This window comes from Homo sapiens, chromosome 22 (genome assembly GCF_000001405.40).
Source record: "Homo sapiens chromosome 22, GRCh38.p14 Primary Assembly".
Taxonomy (NCBI): Eukaryota; Metazoa; Chordata; class Mammalia; order Primates; family Hominidae; genus Homo; species Homo sapiens.
Window position 1 is genome coordinate 48,927,935 of NC_000022.11, and position 19,361 is coordinate 48,947,295.

Consider the following 19,361-nt stretch of genomic DNA (forward strand, 5'->3'; position numbering starts at 1 on the left):
TTTTCCACAAGGGTCAGTTGTTGGTGTTTTGGATATTTTTATACAGTTTTATCAAGAATGTATTTTAAATCATTAAAAATTGCTGTTTTCACACTTACAGGTATAATTTGTTAATTACATTCCAAATATTGAATCATTTCTGGTTCCTTGAAAGAACCACACTTAGCATAGTGTATTTTTTCATGAACTTTTGAGCCTATTTGTTAATATATTCTGTAGAATTTTTGCACCTGTATTCAAAAATGAGATACATTTTTATGTGTGTGTATGTAATATTTTGCTTACACTTGGTGAAAACTTGAAAGAGAAAAATTTCTGAAAGTTTAAATAACTTCCATATTATTTATTTTTTGAAGCTTTGCTAGAATTCAGTAAAGAATTTGCCATTTGTATGGCAATAGTGACTTAGAAGTAACCAATGGGCAACTTTCTCAGTTCTGTATATGGCAATTGGTTGACTTAGATTTTCAATCGCATCCAAATAAAATTTGGGTCTCCTTCTGGATCTGTACATATATGTGTGTAGGCATATATATACACACACACATCTACACATATACGTTTATATTCTTACATAATCAGCTATTTCTTCTAGCTTTTCAGAGCATTTATATAGTGCTGAGAAAAATATATTTAATCTGTCTGTATTTTTTATTTCCTTCTCTTAATTCCTCATTTTGTGTTTGTATATTTCTCCTATGTGTCTGCCTCGTGTAATTAACTTTGATACTGTATATTTCATAGGATTTTTGTAAAGAAGCATCTCTGGAAATTATTAACTAACATGACTTTTTAATCTTTTACATGTCATTAGTTTATACTTTCCCTCCTTCTGCTTTCCACATCTTTATTTTGTTTTCATTTTTCTGCTTTTTAATTTCATAATTAATTTACTTACTGACTATTTTTGTTGAGAATTTGTGACACTGATGGTGGATAATTTTGCTCTGAGCCTTGTGCTGATAGTATGCTGTGGCTAGAAGAGCGCCACACTTTTGCTTCTGTTCTCTTTCCTCCGGGACTTCTGCAGTCTCAGGTGACCTCCTGAGAACACCTTGAGCTGTGTTTTGTGTCTAAGCCCACGGTCATTTTCTGTAGGTAATTCACAGGGTGCGAGAAGAAGCTGTGTTTCTTGTTTTCAGGGTGGAGTTGGGCTATGCAGCTGCACATCCTCCTGAGAACGTGTCACTCTGTCCTCCACAGGCTCACATGCTTCTGCTCACTTGGCCTCCTGGGTGAGAAGAGACAGGGAGATTCCCCTTTAAAGCAGGTGTCTCCGGGTGCCTGCAGCCACACTCCTGCCTCTGCCCTCCTGCCTGAGGCGTTCTCCAAAACCCTGGCAAGCAGGAGTGGGGAGCAACCCTCCAGCCCTGGAAAATGGGGTTGGACGCCAATGCTGCAGCCTCCCACCTCAAAGGCACAACTTCAGTGCTGGAGAGGCTGAGCAGCGATGCCACACAGGTGGCCCACTCAACAGCTCACTGCAGGTGGCCACTTACCCCTCCCGTTCCCTGCCTCCCAGGCTCTCCTGTCCCACACCTTGCTCCTGGCCCTGCTGCAGGGGAGTCCAGTTTAGACTCAGGTGCATGGGTCTAGTTGCTGCATTATTTCCTTAGGTTTTGGACATGGGGAAGTCTCCATTTTTGGTGCTTAAGTGGCAGAGCTTTGCCTGGGCTCAGATCCTGTCTCCTCCTTACGTGGCTCCTCGTCGTCTTCGGGGCTTCTTCGTCTGGGTCACAGCCTCTCCAACACTCACGTTGCCATCCCAGCTCCCTCTTGCTTGCCTTTGTCTGGATGGCTTTGCCACATGTTCCTGGATTAGTTGATTATACATTTCCGAATGTCCTGTAAATATCACCTGATCATACATGTGCGCTTTAGTTGTTTTACTCTTACTCTGAGAATCTTGTTTTAACTGGTGGATGTTTCTTACCTGCACTTGCTGCTGTGATCCACGTCTGACCCTAGTCCCTTGACGTCCTCCTGTGTCATATCACCACTTCCAAACTCCCATTGCTTTCGGCCTTCTGCTCCTTGGTCTGCTTTTTCTTTGGGAATGGTTTTCCTTTGGGAAATTTGGAAAGTTAATTCTTCTGCTTATTTTTTGTGGTTGCCATCTTTATAGCTTTTAGTAACATTTTCAGAGTCTATTTCCACATTTATCAACTCTTAACAATTAACCCCTGCTATGTAGAAGGAGAAAATCAATTCATTTCAGTGTTTCCCAAATATTGTCACCATTTTCTGATTTTTCAGGTCATTTGTTTGCACAGAACTTATAACGGTTACCTTTATACCTGTGAAAATCTAAAATGTGGCCTTCTATACTTAAGCACTATTGAAAGTCTCCTAGCTGTAAGTTAAATGTGTCAGGGCAGTTACATTTGTTTCTACCTCTTGCCCTCTGTGATATGTATATGTATGTAACTTTGTGAAAGTTTTCATATGCGTCGTCTATTATATTCATCAGTATATCTAAATATAACATTGACACTGCTTAGGGCTGGGTTTGCACTGGCCTGGCCTTAAGATTCATGTTAGTGGCCTCCTCGCTCACAGCCAGGCCTTCCTCTCTCCCTGTGCTTCCTGGTTCCAAAGCCCTCGGTTCTGCTGCATCTGCACCAGGGTGTGCCAGCTACCTCGCCAGGGCCTTCTGCCCTAGTCTCCTTTCAAAGCAGCCCCTCCATTAAAAAAAAAAAATAACTTTATTGAGATGTGATTCACGTGCTGTACACTTTACCCTTTTCAGGTATACAATTCGGGGGCTTGTAGTATATTCATGGAGCTTTGCAAAGATCACAACTATCTAATTTGAGAACATTGTCATCATCTGGAAGGAAATCCCATGTCCATTTGCAGTCACTCCCTGTGGTCCCCTCCCGCTGGAACCCACTGATCTGCATTCGGTCTCTGAATGTGTCTGCTCTGGGTGTGATGGAGTCATGTGATACAGGTACCTTTGTGACTGGCGGCCCTCACTTAGCATCCATTTTTCTTTCTTTCTTTTCTTTCTTTCTTTCTTTCTTTCTCTTTCTTTCTTTCTTTCTTTCTTTCCTTCCTTCCTTCCTTCCTTCCTTCCTTTCTTTCTTTCTTTCTCTTTCTTCTTTCTTTCTTCCTTTCTTTCTTCCTTTCTCCTTCCTTCCTTTCTTTCTTTTCTTTCTTTTTCTTCTTCTTTTTCTTTTTTTTTTGGACAGAGTCTCTCTCTGTCACCCAGGCTGCAGTGCAATGGCACAGTCTCAGCTCACTGGTTCAAGCAATTATCCTGCCTCAGCCTCCTGAGTAGCTGGGATTACAGCTGCGTGCCACCACATCCAGCTAATTTTTTTGTATTTTTTAGTAGAGATGGGGTTTCACCATGTTGGCCAGGCTGGTCTCGAACTCCTGAACTCAAGTGATCCACCCACCTTGGCCTGTGCTGAGATTGCAGGCATGAGCCACTGCTCCTGGCCAGCATCACATTTTTGAGTTCATCCATAGCAGAGCCTGTCAGTACTTTTGTGAGTCAAGGTTGTCCAGAGAAGCAGAACAAATAGGAAAAGTGTGTTTGTTTGTTTGTGTGTGACTTATCATGAAGTAGTAACTCATGCAATTGTGAAAGCTGAGAAGTCCCACCATCTGCTGCTTCCAAGCTGTAGACCCAGGAGAGCACCACAGGGCCATTTGGAGGTGGCTGGAAAGCTGATGGCGCAGATTCCACTCCAAGTCTGAGGACCAAAGAACCAGCAGTGCCGAGGGCAGAAGATCAATGCCTCAGCTCAGGGGGTCAGGCAGAGCTACCTCAACCGCCCCTCCCTGTTTTGCTCTGACAGACCCTCGACAGATTGGATGGCACCCACACGGAGGGGATCCATCTGCCTTACCCAGTGCACCAGTTCAAACGCTAATCTCTCCTGCAAATGCCCTCACAGACATGCTTAGAAATACTGTTTATTTATCTATTTTTTTAACTTTTTTTCTTTTGAGAGTCTCATTTTGTCTCCAGGCTGGAGTCCAGTGGCGCGATCTCGGTTCACTGCAACCTCTGTCTCTCAGGTTCAAGCAATCCTCCTGCCTCAGCCTCCTGAGTAGCTGGGACTATAGGCGCATGCCACCATGCCCAGCTAATTTTTGTATTTTTAGTAGAGACAGGGTTTTGCCATGTTGGCCATGGCTGTCTTGAACACTTGACCTCGTGATCGACCCACCTCAGCCTCCCAAAGTGCTGGGATTACAGGCGTGAGCCACTGCACCCGGCCTATCTTTTTAACTTTTAAGTTCAGAAGGACAAGTCCAGGTTTGTTACGTAGGTAAACTTGTGTCATGGGGGTTTGTTGTACAGATTATTTCATCACTCCAGCACTAAGCCTAGTACCCATTAGTGACTTTTCCTGATCCTCTCCCTCCTCCTACCCTCCCCCCTCCAACAGGCCCCAATATCTGTTGTTCCCTCTGTGTGTCCATGTGTTCTCATCATTCAGCTCCCACTTGTAAGTGAGAACAGAAACATGGCTTAACCTGACACCTGGGCATCCCTCGGCCCACTCAGCTTGAAACACAGAATTGGCCACCACCGTACTGTATTCATTTTTTATTGCCGAATACTATTCCATCGTGGGGATAGGCCTCACTATTTTCACGTGATGGGTATCCGGGTTGTCTCTGCTTTTTGGCTACTATGAATAAAGCTGCTAGAAACATTCACGAACAAAGGTTTGTGTAGACGTAGGTTTTCATTTCTCTTGAGCATCTCCCGAGGAGAGGAACCACCAGGCTATGGTAACTCTGTGTTAGAAAACTGCCAAACTGTATTCCAGAAGGTCAGTACCATTTTATATTCCAAACAATAACACATTCAAGTTCCAGTTCCTTCATGTTTGTATCAACACTCATTATTGTCTCTGTTTTTATTTTAACCATCCTATCGGGTCTGAAATAATACCTTATTACGTTTCGACTTGTCGTCCTCTAATTATTAAGATTTTCAGTAGCTTTTCATGTGCTTATTTACCATTTTTATATCTTCTTTGGATAAATTAATTGAAATCCCTGCTTATTTGTGTTATCTGTCTTATTGTGTTGAGTTATAAGAATTCTTTATTCCGAATGTAAGTCTTTTATCACACATATGAATTTCAAATATTTTCTCTGATGCTGTGGATTATCTCCACATTTTTTATACTGTTCTTGGAAGCACAAAAGTTGTTAATTTTAATGATGTCCAATTTATCTATTGGTTTTTTTCTCTTTGGAGGCTTGGGTGAGGTTTCTATGAACCAACTGTGCAACCCAAAGTCACAAAGCCTTACTTCTATATTTTCTTCTAAGAGTTCTACAATGTAAGTTTTAGTACTTAAGTTTAGGTCTATAATTTATTTATTTATTTTTTACTTTTTATTTTTTTTTAGATGGAGTCTCACTCTGTTGCCCAGGCTGGAGTGCAGTGGCCTGATCTCAGCTCACTGCAACCTCCACCTTCTGGGTTCAGTTGATTCTTATGCCTCAGCCTCCTGAGTAGCTGGTACTATAGGTGCACACTACCATGCCTAGCTAATTTTTTTTATTTTTAGTAGAGTCAGGGTTTCACCATGTTGGCCAGGCTGGTCTTGAACTCCTGACCTCTTGTGATCCACCTGCCTTGGTCTCCCAAAGTGCTGGGATTACAGGCATGAGTCACCACGCCCGACCATAGGTCTAGAATTTATTTTGAGTTAATGTTTGTATATGGTGTGTGAGGTAGGGATTCAGCTTCATTCTTTTGCATGTGGATATCCAGTTGACCCAGAAAAATTTGTTGAAAAGATTAATCATTTCACATTGACTATCCTTGGCAACTTTGTTGAAAATCAATTGACCAAAAATGTAAGAATTTATTTTTATACTGTCAAGTTTATTTAATTTATCTACAGACAACGTCCTCATGCCAGCACCTCACTGTCTTGATTACTGTAGCTTTATAGTAAGTTTTAAAATTGGAGAAGTTATGCTCTATTCTCAAAAATGTTTTGGCTATCTTGGGTCACACACATGTCAATATAAAATTTACAATCAGCTTCTCACATAAAATTCCCTTCAATAATTTCTTCCAATAATGTTTTCTGGTTTTAGTGTTGAAGTCTTATAGTTCTTTTGTAAGCTTTACTTATTTTTGATGCTTTTATAAATGTAATTGCTTTCTTCACTTTATTTTTGGTTTGTTTATTGCTAATATTTAAACATATAATTGTTTTGTATATTAATCTTATATCCTGCAACTTGCTGAACTCCCTTATAAATTGTAATAGGTGTTTAGTAGATTATTTATAATTTTTACATAAAAAATTACACCATCTTCAAACAGAGATATGTTTACCTCTCTTTTCAAATTTGGATATCATTTATTTCTTATTCTTGCCTAGTTTCTCTGGATAGATCTTCCAGTACAACACTGAACACATGCAAAGAGAGTGGACGTCTTTGTTGTTCTGTTGCTTATCATATAAAGAAAACATCCACTCATTCACCATTAAGTATGATGTTAACTGTGGTTTTCTCATAGAAGCCTTTTATCTAAGGTTGAGGGAACTTCCTTCCAGTCCTTGCTTGTGGAGCCTTTATTTCTCCTTCATTTCTGAAGAATAGCTTTGCTCAATATAGAATCCTTGATTGACAGTCTTTTTCTTTCAGCCTTATGAATATGTTGTGTCACTGCCTCTGGCCTCCATTGCTTCTGATGAGAAGTCAGCTGTACATCTTAGACGGCTTCCTCAAACACAATGACTCATTCTTCTCTTGCTGCTTTCAAAGTTCTCTTTTTGTCTCTTTCAACCATTTGACTATGATGTGTCTAGCTGTGGATTTCTTTGAGTTTATCCTACTTAGAGTTCATTGAGCTTTTGAATGCATAGACAAATCTTTTTCAAATTTGGGGAGTTTTGGCAGCTATTATTTTAAACATTTTTCTGTTCTACTCTCTGCTCCTTTGCTACGAAGCTTATCATGCATACACCAGTATGTCTGATGTTGTTGCATAGGTGTCTGAGGCTCTGTTCATTTTTGTCCACTCCCATTTTTTCCTGTTTCTCAGGTTAAGTAATAAAAACGACCTATCTGTAAGTTCACTTACTCTTTTTTCTGTTAACTCAAACCCACAGTTAAGCCCCTCTAGTAAATGTTTTCTCTGAGTTATTGTACTTTCAATTACAAATTCTTATCTCTCTTTTATAAATTATTTCCCTTTATTGATATTATCTATTGAGTGAAACATTGTCCTCATAATTTACTTCTTTAGACACAGTTTTGTTTAGTTCATCGAAGATATTTGAATTGTCTTATTTAAAGTCATTGCCTAATAAATTCAACATCTGGATTCCTCAGGGACAGTTTCTAGTTAATGCTTTTATTATTGCAGAGAAGCATCTTTTTCTGTTTCTTTGCATATCTCAAGTTATTGTTGAAAGATGGGCATTTTAAAAAATATTATTTGGCATGTCTGGAAATCAGATTCCAACTCTTTCCTAGAGTTTGTTATTATTATTTGTTGTTATTTTCAGTGGTGCTCCTTGTTGAGTAATTTTCTGGACTAATTTTGAAAACTCTGTATTCTCTGTTGTTTGTAGCCACTTAAGTTTCTGTTCAATTCATTTAGAATTCAGTTACTGAGGCCAGCACAGTGGCTCACACCTGTAATCCCAGCACTTTGGGAGGCCAAGGTGGGCAGATCATTTGAGGTCAGGAGTTCAAAACCAGCCTGGCCAATATGGTGAAACCCCGTTTCTACTAAAAATGCAACAATTAACCGGGTGTGGTGGTGGGTGCCTGTAATCCCAGCTACTTGGGCGGCTGAGGCAGGAGAATTGCTAGAGCCTGGGAGATGGAGGTTGCAGTGAGCAGAGACGGCACCATTGCACTCCAGCCTGGCAGACAAAGCAAGACTCCGTCTCAGAAAAAAAAAAAAAAAATCAGTTACTGAGTGGACAGTCTAACCTTAAAAATCTTAACCCTTTTCCCATTTAGAAAACAAATGTGCAGCTCTCTGCCAGTGCTCATTTAATTTTACATAAACACGCTCTTTGAGGCTGAAGTAAATCTGACTGATTTGCAATGTGAAAATAAAATATAAAAACCGTTCTTGGAGTTATTTCTAAACAGAACTACCATCAGAATTATCTGAGTCATCAGAATCCTCTATTTTGAAAAAAAAATCAGATGCATCAAATGACTCTTCTGTGAACAACTGTTTGAGAACGATACTAATGTCACACATAGGAATACTACATTTTCTAGGATTTGACATTTTCAGTGATCGAGAATTACTACATTTTGTAAATGAAAATACCACTACTAAAAACAGAATGATATACATAGAATGATGTCTTTTGTTTCCAAAGTCGATATACTACAGCAATGCAGAAACAATCATGAAAGCAACATTATTTTGTGGCAAAGTTGTCTTAAGGTAAACACTGCAGCCACAAGCACCACTGGTGAGTATTCTCAGTGCAGACAGGAAAGAGTTAAAGCAATAGGTCTTCCAGGCTTTGCTGAGCAGCTCTCTGTGGAATGGGATATGACTTCAATACCTGTTCAGGCAGTTACAACTCTGCCTTAGCCTTCGCTTCTTGCTTTTGGCCTGAATCTCTCTCCTTTGTGACTCTGCTCAGCTGTGACAAAGGGATGTGGCCACTGCACACCCCACTGTGACCCACCTGCACAGGTGCATGTCTGTGCCGTTTGCCTGGGTGGCCTTCACTCTGATCCAGAGCAGCATGCAAGGACATTGTCCTGGCCAAGAGGTCATGGGCGAGACTTCTCTGAGCTCTTGGAGAGTTTGGTCTCTTTGCTGAGATCCATAACATTTTGCAGGTATTTCTCACCGCCTTTCACACTTTGCCCAGATACCATTGTGTTGGACACTTTTCATCACAATCCAAGGTTTATGGTTACGGTTGTCTCTGGTCTCATTGGATGTGCTTTTTTTCCTCTTTATGTTTTATTCCTTTTGTTGTTTGTATTTGGCTTTACTTGGAAATGGAATAGAAATCTCTCTGATCCATTGTGTTACAGCAGAAATGTACTCTGATCACTATTTTAAAAGAAGAAGAATTTTCCAATGATAACCATGGCTGGCTTGGGGTGGAGAAGAACAGGATACAGAAGAAAAAGAGTTAGTCTGAAGTCAGGAAAATGGGTTCCACGTTTTTGTTCTGTGCTGACTTAGCCAAGTACTGTGTGGACAGCATACTTAGCATCTTTATACTTGAGTTTCAACTCCAAGAAAGTAAGGATAAAAAAAGTATCAGGTTTCAATGAGAAAACACAAGCCACTAGTACAATGCTTGTCATGCTGGGGCCCCTGGGTAAACTATGTCCCTTATGTTTAGCAACAATAAAAGACATACATCACCAACAAAGCACACAGAAAGCACCACTCACTGGAGGACCGAGGGAGAGACACGCAACACCCACGGGCTCCAGGCAGTCCTAGAATCCTGCCGGGTGGACTGCCACAGCTCCCGACCTGGGTGAGCAGCTCTGAGAGGAGCCCCGTCCTGCTGTGTGACCGGAGCCGCCCTGTGGGTGATTGCTGCACCCTGCTTCACTCCTGGGAATTTCCTCTTCTTACCTTGTCCTCTCATACACACTCAGAGTCCCGGGACTGGAAAGTCTTCACACACTCCTCAGTGCAAGGTTGGAAGCCAAGGGTTGCTGATGTTTAACGAATGCCTCTAAGACACACCTGCAGGCCCGTATGCATCGCTGTGCTATTAAAAATAATACACGTGGAAACAGCCTAAGTGTCTGCTGACAGGTGGACTTAAAAACTGTGTTATAGATGCACAGTGGAGTACTTTTCAGTCTTAAAAATAGAAGGAAAGGCCAGGCACAGTGGCTCACGCAAGTAATCCCAGCACTTTGGAAGGCTGAGATGGGTGGATCACCTGAGGTCAGGAGTTGAAGATCAGCCTGACCAACATGGTGAAACCCTGTCTCTACTAAAAATACAAAAATTAGCCAAGCGCAGTGGCTCACGCCTGTAATCCCAGCACTTTGAGAGGCTGAAGCAGGCGGATCACCTGAGGTCAGGAGTTTGAGACCAGCCTGGACAACATGGTGAAACCCCGTCTCTACTAAAAATACAAAAATGAGCTGGGTGTGGTGGCAGGTGCCTGTAATCCCAACTACTCAGGAGGCTGAGGCAGGAGAATCACTTGAACCTCGGAGGCGGAGGTTGAAGTAAGCTGAGATCATGCCACTGCATTCCAGCCTGGGTGACAAAGTAAAACGCTATAAAAAAAAAAAAAAGAGGAAAGAAAGAGAAAAAAAGAGAAAAGAAGGAAAATCTGCTATTTGCAACAACATAAATGAACCTGGGGGACATTATGCTGAGTGAAATAAGCAGATGCAGAAAGACAAACACTGCACAGACTCTCTTTAGGTGGAATCTCAAATGCATAGATGGAGGCAGAGATGCAGGCGATGCGGCCAGGAGCCCAGGAATGGTAGCAGGCACAGAGACTGTGAGATGTGAGGCACAGATCCTCCTGGAGGCTCCGGAAGGAGCCAGCACTGCCGATGCCTGGATTTCAGCCCCATAGGACTAATTTTGGGTTTCTCTCTTCCAGAACTGTAAGAGAATACATTTTCTGAGGTTTTAAGCCACCACATCTGGAGTAATTTGTTGTAACAGCCAGAAACTGACCTCCAGGGCATCAGGGCGCTGTCTGGCCTCTCCTTCCTCCTTCCCTCACTTCTCCTGCCAAAGTCAATGCCGTATGTATTTGTTTTGTTGTTGCTTTTCTGTTTTTCTTTATTTGCACAGCAGCCCTGAACTTCAAGGTCATAATCTCTATAATCAGAGTAAGCACCCGGATCCATCAGCCAGCCCCAGATTTCAAGAGCTTTAACAAAGCACAGGCTTCTGACCATGTTGGATCACTGCAGGGGCAGTGTCGTCCACCCCTGGTTGGTCATCCCGAGGGCCAACCTCCTTCCCATGCAGCCCGGGCTCCTCGCCATCCCTGGAGTTCTCGGGGCTCAGCCAGCAGATGGAAAGAGACGGAGCTGAAAGCTCCTGGTGAGACTTAGGGGTCAGGGTTGGGGATGGCACTGACTCCTTGTTCGCATTCACCAGCCAAGTAAGATCTGCAAAGCAAGCTGGAAAAAGTCAGTCCACTAAGGCCCAGGAGGAAAAAGGAAGGGCCAGTGGCTGAGGCCACCAAAAGGTTTGAGCAGGCTGAGTGACCAGGGCCTGGGCTTTGACCCCCAGCTCACAGCTCTGTGAACTCATCTATTTCTGTTATTATCATGTATATTCATAACTAATACTTTAGTTCTGCACCTAATTTACAAAGGTCTTCCTTCGGTATCTCATATATTAATACAACTAATAAAAATTAAATGTCGGTAAGGGCTTTGCAGGTTACAGAGCAACTGCACCTCCGGGATCTCCTCTAAGTGTTCCTTTATCTATCTGGCCTTATTAATTCCAGCCTTTATGAACTGGGGGACTTTGGAGAGTCACTTTCCGCCTCTGAGCTGTGTTTTCTATTAGCAAATGGGGATCGATACCTGCCAGCCTCTCCCAGGGCGGTGATGAGTTTCCCGCTGCCTGGGATGGGATACCTGAGAGAATTCAGACAACAGCGTGCCCTCCTCGGAGCTCCCCTCCGCTCCAGGGATGGCAGAGGTACCCCATGCGGCAGGGGCCCAGCGGAAGGCAGGGACCAGCCTGGCCCCAGCAGGAGTAGCTCAGCCCCCACAGGCCGGGCCTCCAGAGGCCCAGCCAGCGGGACACCCTGCCCTGGGAGGCTCAGATGCCTTGGCGGGAGTAGGCCTGGCCTGTGAGCTCTCACCGTGTGTGTCTCAGCCTAGTGGGCGCCCCCGCCCCCCGAGGCCGGGTTTTCCCTGCCTGGCCACAGGTGCGGGGGAGACTGAGCAGCCACGGGCAGCTCTCATTCAGACTCAGGGGGAGGCGGCCGGAGAGTGAAACATTTCCCCAAAATGTAAATTGTATTAAAAAAAATCCATACCTCTAGAAGGACTTTGTAATAAGAAGGCAATAAATCAAGTTGGGAAGCAGCACTCTGAGTGGGAGCGAACGTCTTATTTACTGGGGAGGGAAGGAATGCGGCGCAGTGTTCGGGGTGGGGCAGCCTCTCCCAGCCCCCGCCCTGGCCCTGGAGGTCCCTGTCCAGAAGGCGCCCGCAAGGCACCGTCCCCAGGGCTCAGCGTGCCTCTCTAGAGGCCGTCCCACTCATCCCCCTGCTCATTCATTCACTCCCAGGTTACCTAGAGCTTATTACCAACTGTGCACAGCACTCACTGCTGAGCATACAGTGACCAGCAAATAAGGGTTCACCTGTCAAAAGTTCACGGAAGGGAGGCACGCAGTGAGTGAGGGTTCGGTCCAGGACAAAGCATTGAGCTGCGCAGGAGAAGACGGCCTCTGTGTGCTGCTCTAAGGGAGCCACTGTCTGGTGGGGGAGGCAGGCAGAAGCCAGGCAGTGACATCCAGGAAGCCCCGAGGCCCAGGAAGCACAGCCTGAGGCAGGGTGGTCAGGGAAGCCTGCCTGGAGGAGGTGGCAGCCTAGCTGAGGATGAGTCCCTCCAGGGAAGAACTGGGGGAAGCAGACACACAGAGGGGGCCCTGCCATGAGAAGGGCTCCCTGCCACAACTCTCCTGGTGCTCAGGCACATGGTTGGAGTCCTTCAGAGGGTCCAGCTCACCAGAGGACGCCCAGAGTCCCAGAGTAGGTCAGGCCTCTTACCGCCAGTAGCGCCTCCGCTGTGCCATGCTGGTCTAAGTAATTTCGGGCTTACTGTGTAGGTGGCACTAAGATTGGATCCCAAGTCAGAGATCCCCATGGTGCAGTTTTTCAGGGAAGATGAGAAAACTAGAGCACCATGCGCGTGTCATGAGACTTCCTCACTCTGGCTGGCACACTCTGGTTTGCAAGACCCTCGTCTATCTGTGGACTCCCAGTCCCGTGGCGTGTCCCTGTTACGTGTTTGACGGGTGGGGGAAGGGAAATGTACGGGGCAGAAATGGCCCACCTGGTCTGCCAGAGCCAGCTGTGCAACTCGGGTCAGGTACTCAGCCCTCTGGGCACCAGCTTCAGGCTCACACTCTGCAGACCGAGGCCTGAGTCAGGGCTCACAGTAGGAGCCAGGGAGAAAACCGTGCTGGGCCCAGGCTCCGATGCCAGCCACACTGGAGGGGTGCTCTGGGTGTCCTGCGGTATGGGCATGACCCTGTCACCCTTCCCAGGACCTGGACTCACTGCATGGTGCTCCCAGGTAGAAGTGGCACAGGGTCCTGCCTGCCTCATATCCCACAGGTATCTCTACATCTTGAAAGAGGGGCTCAGGTCCTGCAGCCGTGCCCTGGATCTTGGTCTCTCTTCTTTGCTCCTGGGGGCAGTGGGTGGGGGGCGGGGGGTTTGTAGGAATGACGGGGCTTTCTGGGCGTGTACTCACCCACCCGGGAGCCTCAGATGTGGGAGAGGCCTGGGGAATCCATGCGGATCCATGCAGCGGCACTAATTCCTGGGATCTGGGGTTGAACAGGTGGCTGGCCCTTCTTTAAAGCAGGTGCAGCATTCCTGCCACCGCCCACCACAGGCAACGGCCTCGCGGGGGACTTGCTGTCCTTTGGGGCTGGGATCTTATTTTTCTCCGAACTATCATCAGGAGGGTTGGTCATCCTGCACCGATGCTTTCCAATTTGGGAAGAGGGAGAAGGAAGTGCTCGGTGAGGCCTTTAAAAGTTGGGTTGGGAGGTTCCTCAGATGGATTTTCTCCTCCCTGGAACACCACTGGCTCATCCTGGGCACTGCAGGCTGGGCTGACTACTGGGGTCAGGATCCTGTCCTGACTGTGGGGTGAGGGCCATCGTGCAGGTGGCTTTGGGGGGCTGTTTGCGGCCATTCCGAGGGGCGCCTTACGCCCTCCCAGGTCCCCATCCCTGTAAATCAGCAGCTTCTAGGGAAGTTCCCTTTACGGGGACAGGACCCAGGAGGGTGTACAGTGCCTCTCAGGATGGCCTCTCTCTGCCTCCAGAGCTGATATCAGCGGTGAGAGGCATCAGTTCTCCAAGGCCTCCCGGGAAAGTCAGTTTGGAGCCGGAGTTCTCTGTTTCTAGCCGGAGAGCACCAGCCTGGGGCGGCAGGGTGAAAGGCCACAGGAGACAGAAAGAGGCTCCCAGAGGAGCAGGTGGGAGGAACAGGTGCTGGGCTTGGAGTTTTACGGGAGACAGCTGGACTGCAGTGGGCAATGTGGGGCCGACGCCGACATCAGGCACCACAGAGCTGACCTGGGCAGCCTCAGAGAGACCCTGTCATGGCCCGGCCCACCCCAACTCAGACCCCACCCTCAGGACACTGCAGCACTCCCCAGGCCACACCTCCTCCCACAAGGCCCAGCTTCCAGACTCTGCAGATCCCAGGGGGTTTGGCAGGGCCCTGCTCTGCCTTCTCTGAATTGCTGGGCAAGCCAGGCCTGGCTGCAGACAGGAGGCCCCAGACCTAACATGAAAAGCCACTGGAAGTGGAGGGCCTGGGCCTGGGGCCTGGATCACTGCTGTGGGTGCACTTTGCCCTCTACATGCACACAGCTCTACGTCTGAGATTTCAGAAAGAGGGGGCTCTCGTCTACATCCAAAGCAGGGGCAGCTGTCCCCCCAATCTGATCTCAGGGCTCACTCACTAGAAAGTGAAACTCCATCCAGCCTCCAGCCCTGCCTGTTGGGGCTAGATCATCACCCTCGCCACAGAGATTTCTGAAGAGAGTGCAGGAGAGTCAGCATCCTGTTGAATAGGTGCTGCCTATAAACACAGGGGGCCGTCCTGCAGGCTTGGAGGGCCTCCCCTCCATCCCTCCTGGTCCTCATCACCAGGTCCCTCCCCTTAGCTTAGTCCAATTCCTGCCTCTTCCATCCTCCTGGTTCAGTAATTAATTGCTAGAATGCCGGGTGGTGCACAGTGATGAGGAGAGCTGGGCGCAGAGTCAGCACCCAGGACAGCAGTTGCTTGCCCACGTTTATGGTCACAGGGCACTGGGCTCTGGACACGAAGACACACATGCCGATGTCGGCCTTCGAAGAGCAGAGACTGGGGCCCCTGGAAATGGGTCTGGGGCCCGGGAGGTGTGTTCTGGAATGTTCTGTGAGGATCCAGCCCTGCCTATGCCATGTGTGAAAGTGATTGCTTCCTCCTTCAGGCCTTGCTCAGGGCTCCAGCGTGGGCGGCCTTCTGTTCCCGTCCAGCTGAGCTCTCACACAGCCTGCCTGGCTCTGCCCCACCCTCGGACTCGAAGCTGTGAGTCAAGGCCCTTTCTCTTGGGGCCATGGGCACCGTGATGGAGGCGCTTCACCAGCCTGGCACCACAGCATCCCCCATGCACAGCCTGGTGCTAACACAGAGTAAGCCCTCGTCGATATTTGTGATTGGACACAAGGATGACTGAGTGACTATCTGTGATTGGACACAAGGATGAATGAGTGAGTATCTGTGATTGGACACAAGGATGAATGTAAATGAGTGAATAACAAGAGATGGTCGAGGTGATGCCCGATAACGCTCCCAGCTTAGAAACTCAGTGGCTCCTAATCTTGCCAACTTGTGTCCAGGCATCTAAAGCCCAGCCTGGTTTTCCTCACAGGTCAGAGAGATGATTTGAGAGGCTGTAGCAGAGCCACACACTCCAGAATGTGTCCCTTGTATGTGAACTGCTGCACCTGAAATCACACCATTACTCACACAGCTCACCCTAAAAATGCACCGATCTCTGGAAGCAGCATTACTTAGAGCTGAGAGCAGTGTGCATTCTGGGACAAGCAGAGTTTTCTGGGATCAAAACTGAGCGTGGAATGAAGCCAGTTCAAGGTCCAGCCAGACAAAGCTCTCAGTAAACGTCCGTCACAGGGGCCAGACAAAGCTCTCGGCAAACATCCGTCATGGGGTAACCAGCACAGGGAAGTGAGGGGAGTGGACCAGTCCGTTACGGCACAGAGGGTGCTGGCACCTGCGTTTTCACTGGTCATCCTCTGGGCAGGGAGAGAAGCATCCGCTGCTTCCCTACACACTGTCCAGCAGGCGGGGCCCGTGAGCCTCCCCGGCTCAGCTGAGCAGCCTGGGGCTCCCCTCCACCAGGCCAGGAAACCCTCCTTCCACAGGCTGTGGCCTGGTGGGAGGGCCCTGTTGGAGACTGAACTGTGTTGCTGAAGTTCTCATCCCTGGAACCTCAGGCTGAGCTTATTTGGAAATAAGGTCTTCGTAGGTGAAGTAGTTAAGATGCAGTCACACTGGAATCCAGTGGGCCCTAAGCGTGAAACGCCTGGTGTCCTCAGAAGAGGAGAGAGACAGAGGCAGATGCCCTGGGAGGGCCACACTGCAACCACGATGGAGGCAGAGACGAGGGACCCCAAGGATGGCGGCCTCCAGGGGTGGACGGCAGCCTGGATGGACTCTCCCGCAGAGCCCTCCGGAGGAACCCACCCTGCCGACACCTTTTCCCCGAGTTCCAGCCTCCAGAACTGTAAGACAACACCTTTCTGCTGTTTTAAGCCACTGAGTTTGTGTTAACTTTCCCAGCAGCCACGGGAGGCTGACCCCGGGCTGTTTCCTCCCCCGGAATCCCACGGCTCTTCCTAAAGTGTACATTTTTGGCACTGCAGCCACCCAGATGCCTGTGGGAAGTTTCTCCAAGGGCCCTAATTGCACCCTGGGTGTGCCCTGTCCCCTTTGCCATCAGCCTGGGATGCTGCAGACGCCCTTGCTAGAGGCCAGCTGGGCCCTGGCTGGAGGGACCCACTCAGAAGGAAACCCCATTCTCTGCTTTCAGAGCTGGGTCCCTCCCAAGCATCTGGCCCAATCCGTCTTCCCACTTCCCTCCTCCAGTCCCGTTTTAAATAGAATCCATCAGCAATCAGAGCGTGAGGCCATCAGCCCAGCTCAGAAGCACAGCCCGGCTCCACGGACGCCAACGGAGGGTGTCTCCCGCCGGAGTGAACGGCTGCCCGGCTGCTCCAAACAGCTCGGCTCCCCCTATACTGTCCCCCTTCTTAATGGCCATGGGTGTCCCCAGAGCCGAGAAACTGGGGCAAGGAGTTGTCGTGCAGCAGAAAGATGGGTTGCCAGGCTCTGAGGGGCAGAATACGCTTCCCGCGTCTTGAGCAGGTTCTACTGGAGGGCCAGAGCAGGAGGCACGGCAGGAGCTGAGAGGGAGGGTTCGTGTCCAGCGGGCACCACTGCAGCTCAGGCAGGCAGGACCCAGCTGGCGGCTGGGAGGCCTCACACACGCGCCTCCATGCACCCATCTGTGCCTGCCTCGTGCGGACATTGTGAGGATCACAGGGAGCAGGGGTGGAAGGACCCAGGACAGCACCAGGTACATCAGCCCAGGCGGCTTTGTCTTCAAGGGTGCCATTGCGGCTCAGACAGGTGGGACCCAGCTGGCGGCTGACCACGGAGCCCCAGCAGACTGAGGCAGCGGCCCAGGGCTCCGTCTGGAGGGGGCAGGTCTGAGCAGGTGGAGCAGGGACAGGAGGCCGAGGGCTGCATCAGAATCTCCGGGAGCGTGGGGGCTTCCACTGCTCTTTCCGGTCCTGGGGGCTTGGATGGGGCCCAGAGCTGGGTCCTTCTCTGACTTCCCCGGTGACGCTGCCTCATAACCAGTGCCGCTGCCAGAGGCTCCTGACCTGTGTCTGGATGCTCCTTCTGCCCTGTCTGCCCCGTATGAGGGATGGTTGTCCCTAAGATCCTCCTGACAGCCCTCGGGCCGTGAGTGTGCGTGATGTACCTGGTGCTGGCCTAAGTCCTTCCATCCACGCTCCCTGTGATCCTCACAACATCTGCACGAGGCAGGCACAGATGGGCACGTGGAGGTGTGTGTGTGAGGCCTCCCAGCGGTGGGGATGGTGCTGGTCCTGGCCCGGACAGGCTGACCCCAAGCCCATGTGCCCAGCACTGAGCATCTCTGCCTCTGAACCTTGCCCCACACTGAGGCCGGCCCAGGATAGCTGGCCCTGCCCAAACAGACCTGTCTGGCTCTGAACTTTGGGCTGTGCTGCCCCAGTGCTGGAGGAGGCGTGGTCTCCAGGTATTCCCTGTGGGAGTCTCTGGGCACCCTTGGTGTGGCAGCTCCGAGTCTCTGGGTGGGCTCAGGCAAGATTCTATAGCCCAGGTTCTGTGTATCCTGAGCTTCACCCCCAGACCAGACCTGGCTGCCATGAGGTGGGGTGGGGTTCTTGCAGCAGGGCATACGGAGGGAGGGAGGCTTGAGCATAAGGATCAATGATATCACAGGAGAGAACAGGACAGGAGACAAGACGGACCCACAGAGCTTGGGGCCTGGGGAGAGGACATCACTGTTTCAGGGAAAAGTGGATGTCCGGTCCCTCTTCAGGCTCTCTTGGAAGTGTGGGCACCAGGATGTGCAGAGGCCCCACCAACTCCTTGCCCTCGTGGTGCAAACCTCCGCTGTGGGGGCTTGGGCTGGCGGCACAGGCGTGGAATCTGTCCAATCCTCAGAAGCCCCCGCGCTTGGTCTGAGGCTCGCTGTCCTTGACCTGCAATTCGGTTTTTTTGAGACAGAGTCTCGCTCTGTCACCCAGGCTGGAGTGCAATGGCATGATCTCAGCTCACTGCAACCTCCACCTCCTGGGTTCAAGCAATTCTCCTGCCTCAGCCTCCTGAGTAGCTGGGATTACAGGTGCCCGCCACCACGCCCAGCTAATTTTTGTATTTTTAGTAGAGACAGGGTTTTGCCTGACCTCAGGTGATCCACCCGCCTTGGCCTCCCAAAGTGCTGGGATTACAGGCATGAGCCACTGTGCCCAGCCTGTCCTGCAATTCTTAATAATTAACAATATTGAGGTCCAATGGGACAAAGGAGTGAGCAGAGGAGATCCATGAAATACACACGCCCAGGCCCCTCAGTGCTTCATTTGCAGACAGAATTTGTGATGCCTCAGGAGCGCAGACGTCTCATAGGCCCACAATGGGTGGGTGTTCCGTGAGGCTGCACATCAATGGAACACCAACTCATTAGGGCCATTGAAGGCCACGCTTTACAATCAAACCAGAAGCCACTTCGAACTCAGAACAGAAAGAAGCCCGTGTTCCAACAAGCATAAATGGCACAGGGACCCGATTGCACCTGTTTTTTACTCCTGATATTGTGTTCATGATACTAAGTGAAATAAAAATAGTTGTTTGTTTTGTGCGAGGTCTCCAGTGCTTTGCTGAGAGCAAAACGCACACACATGCACGTGCCACGAAACATGAATTGTAGAACTGCAGTGATTCCGCCCAAGAATGAAGTGGTCTTACCTCTGCGAGTGCAACTGGTGTGTGTGCTGGGGGAACGATGGTCAAATTCACACTATTAAAGGTTTTTGGCTGGGC

The 19,361-nt window shown here is 48.7% G+C and overlaps 4 annotated features.

Moving 5' to 3' along the window:
• Positions 12,815 to 12,984: an enhancer, noted in NCBI's record as "experimental_63573 CRE fragment used in MPRA reporter constructs". NCBI's record gives its function as "activates a minimal promoter by MPRAs in K562 erythroleukemia cells, with activity observed for the introgressed 22:49336646 variant allele {active_cell/tissue: K562}" and the evidence as "EXISTENCE:reporter gene assay evidence [ECO:0000049][PMID:34662402]".
• Positions 14,089 to 14,289: a silencer, noted in NCBI's record as "peak4515 fragment used in MPRA reporter construct". NCBI's record gives its function as "represses an SCP1 promoter by STARR-seq MPRAs in K562 erythroleukemia cells {active_cell/tissue: K562}" and the evidence as "EXISTENCE:reporter gene assay evidence [ECO:0000049][PMID:32103011]".
• Positions 17,843 to 18,137: an enhancer, noted in NCBI's record as "tiled region #10948; HepG2 Activating DNase matched - State 8:EnhW". NCBI's record gives its function as "activates a minimal TATA promoter and a strong SV40 promoter by Sharpr-MPRA in HepG2 cells {active_cell/tissue: HepG2}" and the evidence as "EXISTENCE:reporter gene assay evidence [ECO:0000049][PMID:27701403]".
• Positions 17,843 to 18,137: a silencer, noted in NCBI's record as "tiled region #10948; K562 Repressive non-DNase unmatched - State 23:Low". NCBI's record gives its function as "represses a minimal TATA promoter and a strong SV40 promoter by Sharpr-MPRA in K562 cells {active_cell/tissue: K562}" and the evidence as "EXISTENCE:reporter gene assay evidence [ECO:0000049][PMID:27701403]".